Consider the following 10,064-nt stretch of genomic DNA (forward strand, 5'->3'; position numbering starts at 1 on the left):
TTAATAAGTAACAATCAAATATGTATGTGTATGTATAGAGAAAACTAAAATTATATATACTGCTGTTAGCAGAGGATATGTTTGGTTGGTGGGATGATAGAGTGACTTTCTATTTTCAACATTTTGGTATTATACTGACTACTTTGCAATATTAACAATTTTAACAACGTTTTATTTAGGTTGAAATTTGCTAAGACAGTAGAAAACAACTGCTCCTCCTCACACGTAATTATATGTGGTGATGGATGTGTTAATTAATTTGATTGTTGTAATCATTTGACAATGTATTCACACATCAAATCACATTGTACATTTAAAATATATACAGTTTTTGTCAAATACTTTATATTTAAGAAAAATTCATAAAATAAGATAGACTATACTATTGGAACTTATTATTTCTAAAAGTATTTTTCTCTGTATATGAAGAAATAATTGAGTAAACTTTCAATGCACCCATGTCCTCATCTACAAAACTTAGTTTTGCAAGGAATTCTGTCTTACTTACTATATGTGAATAACTTCTTCTTGGCACCATGCCTCCTATGATTTGTGGCGTAGGACTTGTGTTACCATATATATTATTTTTCAAAGATTTCAAAATAGTTTTTACATGTATGTATTCTATATCCTCAATGATATTGTAAATTCCTTGGTTATTGCATTTTCTTTCTATTGTACCATCTTCTGTGATGAATAAACATCAAGTGCTTTGCTGGTTGATGGTATAATTCAGGGGCTGCCAAACTACAGCTCATGGATCAAATTTGGTGAATCATTTGTTTTTGTATAGCCCTCCAGCTAAGAATCATTTTTACATTTTTAGATGACTGAAAAAAATAACATCTTGTAACATAAAAATTATATGAAATTCAAGTTTCATTGCCCATATACAAAATCTTATTGGAGTGCAGGTACATTTGTTTACATATTGTCTATGGCTGCTTTCATGCTCCAACATCAGAGTTTTAACAAAGACTGTATGTCCCGCAAAGCCAAAAATAATTACTTGTCAGTTTCTTACTAAAAAAGTTTGCCAGCCCGTCTTAACATAATAAGTGTAAGTAACATCAGAAAGGTCCCATTAAAAGTGACCGCTATTGTAAACTGCCTTTAGTAGTATATGATAGATTATGTTATTGTTCTCAAGTCCTCTCTGCTTCTGTGTAACAGGATTATATATCTATAGCCATGTGGATATGACATTGCAGCGTCATCCAGTAGCATTCTACAAAGTATGCATCCCTGCTCCGATGTCTTCAGGCTGGGTCATGATATGCTTTGGCCAGTGGAACATTAACAGATGTGATGTGAGTGAGGCTTTAAATGTGCTTGCAGAGTTTGGCCTAGGTTCCTGAGCTTCTGTTAGCTGCCATGAGGTAGCAGCCATCTGTTCTGGTAACCATTGGTCCTAGAGTGAGAGACATGCAGAGCAGACCTGAACTTGAAGTCGAGTCAACCCAGCAGGTGTGCAGACCCATGAGTGAGAAATGAATGTCTGCTGTTGAGAGTCACTAAGATTTGGGGGTTATCTGTTATGCAAAAGCTTGACTAATACTGTCGAATTCATCCCTTATTAGTTATGGTGAGATTTGTGTAGCCCTCCTATGCTAATAATATAACAACTGGAAATCTCATTAGGTTTTGAAAGAAATGATATGGATTACCACAGGTAACCTGTAAATGTAACATATTTATACTGCTTTATGAGTATAGTCATAAGTTTGAGAAAAGTCTATTTATCTTTTTCACAGAGCTGTTCTAAAGCCTTGAAATCACATTTTCTGTGGATTTATTGTCCAATTGTATAAAAGACACTTGGTTGCTGTTAAAATGGATGAGCTGAACTTCTATGCTTCTCCAATCCTCTACTACTCTTGTCTGATGCATGGGGTGAAATGATTTTCTGTATGCATTCTGTTTGTGATTGCTAAGTCTTGAAATGCAAATGTATTTTTACCTACAAAGTGGGAATCTTTTGTTGATATAAAATTTTGCTGTAGTAACTAATCTAAATCTATACAAGTTTGGTGTTATTTCCTATGGGTATTTAGAATCTGATTATATTAGTGAAGGTGTATAATTTCCTTAAAGCAAGGTTTCTTAACAGTGGCACTATTGACATTTCGGGCTAATTACTTGCGTGGGGAGCTGTCTGTGCATTTTGCAATGTTTAGCATCCCTGGCCCCTGCAAGTTAGATGCCAGTAGCACATCCCCAGACCCTATTCTCCTTACCCTGTGCGGTCATGACAATCAAAAATGTCTTCAGCCATTGCCAAATGTCCTCTGGGAGGCAAAAATCATCCCATTTGAGAATGACTGCCTTATGAGGGGAGCTCTAATGCAGTGGTTTTCATAACTAGTTACACATTATAATACTGTAGTAAGCCTTTTTTTTTAAAAAAGTCTTATTTTGAGATAATTTCAAAATTACTGAAAAATTGCAATAACAATACACAGAACTCTCATGTACCAATTGTTAGTATTTGCCAGATGTGCTTTTCATTCTTTCTCTACATATATGCATAAATATTTCACTTTGACTCATTTGGGAATAAGTTGGATACAGGATGCTCCCTTGCCCCTTAATATTCAGTGTTTATTTCCTAAGAACAAGGACATTCTCATACATAATCCCAGTAGGATTAGCAAAAACAGGAAATTTAAGATTACTACAATATTATCTAATCCACAGCTCATATTCAAGCTTTGCCAGTTATCCCAAAATGTCCCTTGTGACTACTTCGTCACTGTCCACAATTCAATAAAGGATACACATGGTATTTTATGGTTGTATCTCTTTAGTCGCCTTTAATTTAGAACAATTTCTTAGCCTTTCATTGTTTTTTATAACCTTAGTATTTTTCAAGTGTACAGGCTAATTATTTTATAGAATGGTTCTTGATTTGAGTTTGTCTGATATTTCCTCATGATTAGATTCACGTTATGCAATTTTAACACAAACATTAGTGAGTAATGCTGTAAACCTCTCAGTGCATCTCCTCAGGAGCCACTTGATGAAGGTAAATCCCTTTATTGGTGAGGTTAACGCTGATCATTTGATTAGGATGTATATTAGTTTCCTAGGGCTGCCATAACAAATCATCACTAACTGGATCACTTAAAAAAGGTATGAAGTTCTTCTCTCACTGTCTGGAGGGCAGAAGTCCAAAAATCAAGGTGTCGCTAGACCCTACACCCTCTGGAGGGTCTAGGGGAGAATCCTTTTTGCGCCTCCCAGCTTCTGCCAGCATTCCTGTGGCTGCATCACTTCATCACTGCCTCCATCTCTGCATGGTCGTCCCCTCCTTCTCTTTGTCCATGTCTTCTCTTCTGTCTCTTGTCAGGACATTTGTCATTGATTTAGAGTCCGTCCAAGTAATCCCAACTGATCTGATCTCAAGATCCTTAGTTTAATTACATCAGCAAAGATCCCCCCCACCCCACCATTTTTTTTTTTTTTTTCAAATAAGGTCACATCCCAGGTCCTGGCAATTAATATGTGGACATATCTTTCGGGGGTCACCATTCAAGCGAGTACATTTGGTGGCTGCCAGCTTGTTTCACTGTGAAGTTATTATTTTCTCTTTGGCATTAAAAAGTAATTTGTGGGAAGACTATGTAAATATTTTATTCCTCATCACAATTCTCACCCATTAGTTTTAGTATTTATTGATAATTCTAATTCAACTGATTTTCTAATTTCATCATTCCTTCTAAATTTTTTAGTTAGCATTCTGTTTTAAGAGCTTCTCTCTCTCCCTTCTTTCCTTCCTTCATCCTTTCGTCTTAACAATATAGACGTATTGATTCTTATTTTATTCGCTGGGTTATAACCTATTATTAGTTTTATTTTCATGATCAAATTTTGCTACACCTGGCCTGCAAGAGTCTGCTTGCTTCTGTTTCCTTTGACGTGATCTCCATCATTTTGAGGAATTTTTTACTTTCTGGCACAAAAAAATGTTCTAAGCTCAGGTTTTTCCCACCTCAGCCCTATTTCACTAAGGAGTCACTGGATTCTTTTAGTGGGCAATAGTGGTTTTTTTGTTGTTGTTTGTTTTTTTGTAGACACTGGGTCTCCCTATGTTGCCCAGGCTGGTCTCGAACTCCTGGGCTTAAACAATCCTCCTGCATCAGCCTCCCAAAGTGCTGGGATTACAGGTGTGTCCCACCGTGCCCATCTTGGCAATGGTATTTAGAAACCAAAATCTTGGTGTCTCAGGAGCTTTTTAGGAAAAAAAATGTTTGAGTTCTGCTTTGGGAGATTGCAATACATATATCCTGGGGCAGGGCCCAGAAGAGAGAGAGAGAATGTGTGTGGGTGTATGTGTAAAGTTCCAGGTTGTTCTGTTGCATAACATTGTGTGGGAACTACTGCTGTAATGCATTTAAACCATGATTTAGCTTGTGCTAATTTTTTCAGTCACACATTTTTCATCTAAAGGGACAAACAACTGTCTCATATCTTAATTACTGGATACCAGAAAACTAAGCAAGATAAAACCTACAATATCTGAAAGAATTTACTAGGTATCAGATGTCAATGATGGATGTTTAAGATAGAAAATGTGTTGCATAATGTAAAATAATTATTGATTATGAAATCAAGCCAAGCTAGATTCAAGTCTAAATGTAATTACAATTTCAATTAAAAGAGAAAGTGGAATTTTTACTTTTAAATTGCATTTCTCTGACTATAATCCCTTTCTCTGTCACTCTCTATCTCACATTATAGAATTCATCACTTTATGGGAAGGGGTGCAGGAAACACAAAGGTTTTCACAATGGAATGGAAAAATAATCTATTTCAATATCTGTGCTTGACTATCTTCAATAACAGATAACTCAGAGAAGGAACAAAATTACTCCAGTGAAGTCAACTGCAATGTTGAATAGCTATATCACATTTTGGTATTGAGCGTGAAAAAGCATTTTTCCTGTATGAAATTTTGGGTTAATCTTTTTTACTTCTTAAAAAAAAGAGCATTCCAAGGTACTAAGATTCATATCTTGGGGAAGAATTTTTTTCTATCTACAGATGATCAGTGAATATACTGAGACTTTGAGTCTGTAACTTTGCCTTAGTAAAAAGGAATATAATATAACTCCTCTTTCAGAAGATAAATTAGAAGAAAATTCCACCACTGCAGTGAGAATTATAATTCTTAGCATTAATAAATAGTAATTGTCATTTTTGAGTATATACCAGGAATTTTAAACATCAACTTTATTTTACCAATAAAGAAACTAAAGTTCAGAAAAATGAAGTAAATTTTCCAAGGTCACAAAGTTAGGAAATGGTTAAGCAGGGACTTTAGCCCAGTAAGGATAGGCTAAGTTATGGTACAGCAACAAACAACTCTCAAATCTCAGCAGCTTATAATAACGAAGGTGTAGCTCACGCTGCATGTACATTGTTGGTGGGCTTTGGCTCCACTCAATTACAGATTCACTAGAACTCAGGCTGACATGAAGCCTCTGTCTGTCTGGAGTTGTAGCAGAGGGGAAGGGGAGCACAGAAAACAACACACTGGCTCTGAACGCTTGTATAATACCTGAGAGAAGGAACAAAACCGCTTTAGTGAAGCCAATAGTGCTGCTGAACAACTAGGTCACATTTCGTTGTTGAAGAGTGGTATTTTGTATTTCAATAGCCAGAGCAAGTTATAGCCAAACCTGATGTCAGTGAGGTAGGGAAGTAGTGTCCTCTGATAGGGAGGGCCAGCCAAATATTTGTGGACAGTAACAGATTGATGTGTGGATGGCATCGTTTCACCTGAAGCCCATGTAATAGTTCCTTGGCCTTGGCAATTGATCTACTTTGGTCCAAACAGAGGGAAGCAAAGATTGCTGTCTGATGTTGGCGGAAGACTTGATCTTGTTATTTCTCTAACCAATATGGAGCTGCTGCAGTCATTTTTCTACCACAAGGAAAGAAGTGTGACAAAAGCAGGAAGGCAGTGTCAAGAGCAAGGGAGCCACAGCACTGAGGACCCCATGAATCTCTGGAGCAGTTCAACCTGAGAATGGTCCACACTCTGAACTTTCTAGCGACGTAGTTTCATAAATTCTCTTAGGTTTAATCCAGTTTGCATAAAATCTTTTATTACTTGTATTTCTAAGACATAATATTAAAATCCAAGGCCTAGCATAGTTCTGAACTGTCTTGAAAGAGGCACACATGTGTATATGTATAATATGCTTAATTTTGTGTAAAGCCAATGTAGCAACATTATGAACATTTTTTTAAATAAAGAGAAAATGATCTATTAGCATATTACCCTAAAACATCAACTATTAGTAGGTTTTTGTATACCTTTCCAGTCCCCTCATCCCCACCATGTGCATTTATTTTTACATAGGTTGTTTCATTGCATACAAATAATTTTGTATGCTAGTCTTTTCACTTAAATGTATATTAAAGTTCTTTTCCACCATTGTTGTATAACATTTATAAGGATTATTGGAACAGCTACATAATATTTCAGCAATTGGCCATAGTATAGTTAGATAAAAATTTTTCCTAATTTTGGACATTTAGGTTACTTCCAGTTTTTTTATTTCATAGATAATAGTGCCATGCATGTATAAATATATGTGTGTGAAGGAAAATTGGAAGGGTATATATAAAAACTGATACGATTGGATGCTTTTGTTCAGCCTCTGTGAACTCTAGACCATAAGGTGATCAAACTCACAGAATGTCTTTGTTCTAGAGACCCACATACGTAACACTGGTATCCTTTATTGTGCTAGGTTAAAAAATGGTATAAACATCTTTATACCACTTTTTGGTATAAATATAATTTTTGTTAGATTAAATAATTCTTATTTGGAATAATATTTGGAATAATTGATTAAAATTGAGAATACTAACTTCTGAATGGAAGGATGTGGGACTTGCTAACATATTAGTAGTAAGTCAGAAGGAAATGCTTATTGGGATGAGTCAATAAAGAATATAGGCACAAATTATCTTGTGCTGGGATCCTCCAATGACATATGCTGCTCATGCAAATGTTTGGCCATTGTCCTCTAAGGAAGTTACACTGAAGGGGTCCAGCTCTATACTGTCCCTTGAGAGTCAGTTTGGTGTTCTGTATGGGTCAGATGGCCCTGTGGGCCTGGCCTGCTCACTGGCCTCCGAGAGTGCTCTGTCTCTGGTCCAGCATGCCCCAGTAACTTCACAGCTTGAACACTTTCCAGAGAACTCAAGATAGTAGTTCTCTTGCTCACCTGAGATTTGTATAGATTTTTATCTATTTGTTAGAAATAATTAAAAGGGGCTTAGATGTTGGTATTCAACAATAATGTCCAGGCAGTTCTCCAAGCCTATTTATTTTTCTCAGTCTTTTTTAGGAATTGGAAGACCAGTGGATCCTTGATTGGATGTTGAACTTTGTGGCCCTGCTAATCTTGATCTAGAGGTACAGGGCTGCAGCTGTAGATCTTGATACCTATTTCTCATCCCAGGTCTCTAGGTCTCAAACATGATTTCTTGACAGTGATATTAGCAGAAGCATTTAACCTGTGGCCACAGGGGCATTAACAGCAGAGTCAGTTTGTGCAGTGGATCTGATTTCCTAAATTAGGGAATTGTTCCTTGGTAGGGCGTAGGCTGGCTAGGGACAAAGCAGTTATGGGGAGTGGAACAACAGGGGTGTATATTAGTAGCTTTTGAGCAGAGAACAAAAAAATGGGCCTACATTTCAAAAGAAGCCTAGTAAGAAAGAATCTGCTCATAATAAAGTTGGTCAAGTAGAGGCTCACGAGAAAAGGCTATACCATCTCTTCAGAGACAGTGGGAGTATAGGTTGACCTATAAGTGAGAGGATCTGTAGCATCTGTTCCCAGGAAGTGGGGACAAGGATTGAGGACTGCCAGTGAAAATTAGACCTTGTAAAAGTGAAAATTAGACCTTGTAAAACAGACAAAATGCAATTCCTACTTGCATCTCTTCCATGATTGCTGCATAAATGAGCAACTTGTGCAATCACTTTAACTGAAATGACTAATTATTTAACATATATCTTTGGCTAAATCCCATTCAGAGAACACAGAGAAATAATGGCTTATTTTTTATTACAAATTTTAAAATGTTTAAATTTTCAACCAATGGTTTTAGTATTATCTTAGATACTGCCTTAGAGTCTGCTTTTATAGCACTTCTCTTCCAAAAAACTTCCAGTATAATGCCAAGAACATTTATCCTTCATAATTCAAACTTGGAGTTATGCCAAAGCCTGTTATAAATTTTATTTTGATACTTGATTCTGAATATGTAACGTAGACCAACATATCCTTATTCATTTTCAACAAATGCCAAACTTTCAAAGCAGCGTTATACAGGTGACTTCTTTAACAAGACTTTAGGGTCCTCAGGCTATCTCAGGTGCACAAAATGGAAACTCCCTGAGGGCAGGGCCAAGCCTGTAGTGTTCAGTGGCTTCTCCTCAAGCTTAATAAGCCCTATACTGGCTCAATGGATAATACATGCTAATGGATTTCTTCTTATAGCTATATTTACTGAAAAAAAAAAGGTTAAGGGGAAGTAGAATAATACATTTTATTGGATGAAGGAACTTGAATGAAGTTCCCATTTAGTGAAATATGTGCTTAGCACATAAACTAAGTATATAGCTGTTTAAAAAGAGACAAAAGCCAAAAAGTCTGTAGCATGTTTTCTCTTTTCAGTATTCCCCAGTCTACAGTTTATTATTCCATTTTCTTAATGGTTTTTCTCTGCCCTCTATAATTACCCTGAAGGACCATCACTAAAGGGCGAATCTGGTACTTCTGCTTTCAGAAGTAGCCCTTGTTACCTCATGGAGATGAAATTCTCTGGCTTTCAGTTCCCATTTGGTAATAGCCCCATGCACATCCACTCTGACAGGCGATTGGTTGCTTTTGGCAGCAGAGTGAAGTGTGTGCACAGGGATGGCGGATGGAGGAAACTCTGCAGAAGAATTCAGGAGTGAGGACAGCCTGGACTGGTTGGGAAGGGGCAGCTAAGAGAACAGGTGCCATGGATGCTGTTCAACAAGAATGGCAACTCGAAGAGCTGTGGATAACCCACAGGGAGGCTGACTGGCATGTCCACCTTCCCTATTTTCTGAGGTAGCCATTGCCCTCCCATATATTCTTGGAATCCTTATCCACATTGCTTGCCCAACAAACATTCAGTAAAGACAAATGGGAAAACTTGAGAATAATCCAGAATAGCTTGGTACATGGAGAAAAGCAGTCATAGTATACAGCAATTACTCAGAGAGCTAAGAGTCTGAGGTCTTCAATTTTATTTCTGGATAACAATTTACTTTAATGTAGAAATATACTTGGCATCTTTACTTTAATCAGTCCCCTGTGAAGTGGGCATAATTTCATTAATGTATGCCATACAGATGCTATTGTGAGGATTAATTAATGCTTTTAAAATGTGGACTTCAAATTAAAATTATTTCACCTTGAACCAAATAAAAGACCCTTAAAATTAACAGACACGTATATCTATACATGTTAACTACTAAGGAATTTCCTTTCTTTTTTCTCTGTTAGAACTGAAAAACCCCAAACAATAGGATGTGTTTAACTCCACCATGTAACTGTAGTTACTAATGGCAGAAACAATGCTCACATAAGTGCTGGAAGACTTAGCAATTCCTTGAAGAATCTGATTCATAAGGGAAAAGTGCTCTTCAGCTATTTTAAGCACTTAGGTGCATGTTCTCTGAGTGAGTCTACTGTCATAGCAACTGATTTACCGCAGAAAAGCAGGGAAATGTCTTAAGTCAGAGGTGCTTTTCCTTACCCTTTATTTGGGAATCTTTTCCTTGACTTTTAGAATTAAACTTTGTGACTCAGACAACTATCATGAAAAATTTCATTCAATGAATAACAATTCTGTGGCAGTTAAAAAATTTCTAAAGTGCCAGGTTTAATAGATGTTCAGATGTTACGGTTTAGCACCTAAGGTCCTGAAAGCATGCCAGAATACCAGATAGTGTGACATTCATGTGACAGTGAATGAGAAAATGAACCTGTGGGTTTGTATAAATATAT

Source organism: Homo sapiens, chromosome 2 (assembly GCF_000001405.40).
Source record: "Homo sapiens chromosome 2, GRCh38.p14 Primary Assembly".
In the NCBI taxonomy this organism is placed as follows: domain Eukaryota; kingdom Metazoa; phylum Chordata; class Mammalia; order Primates; family Hominidae; genus Homo; species Homo sapiens.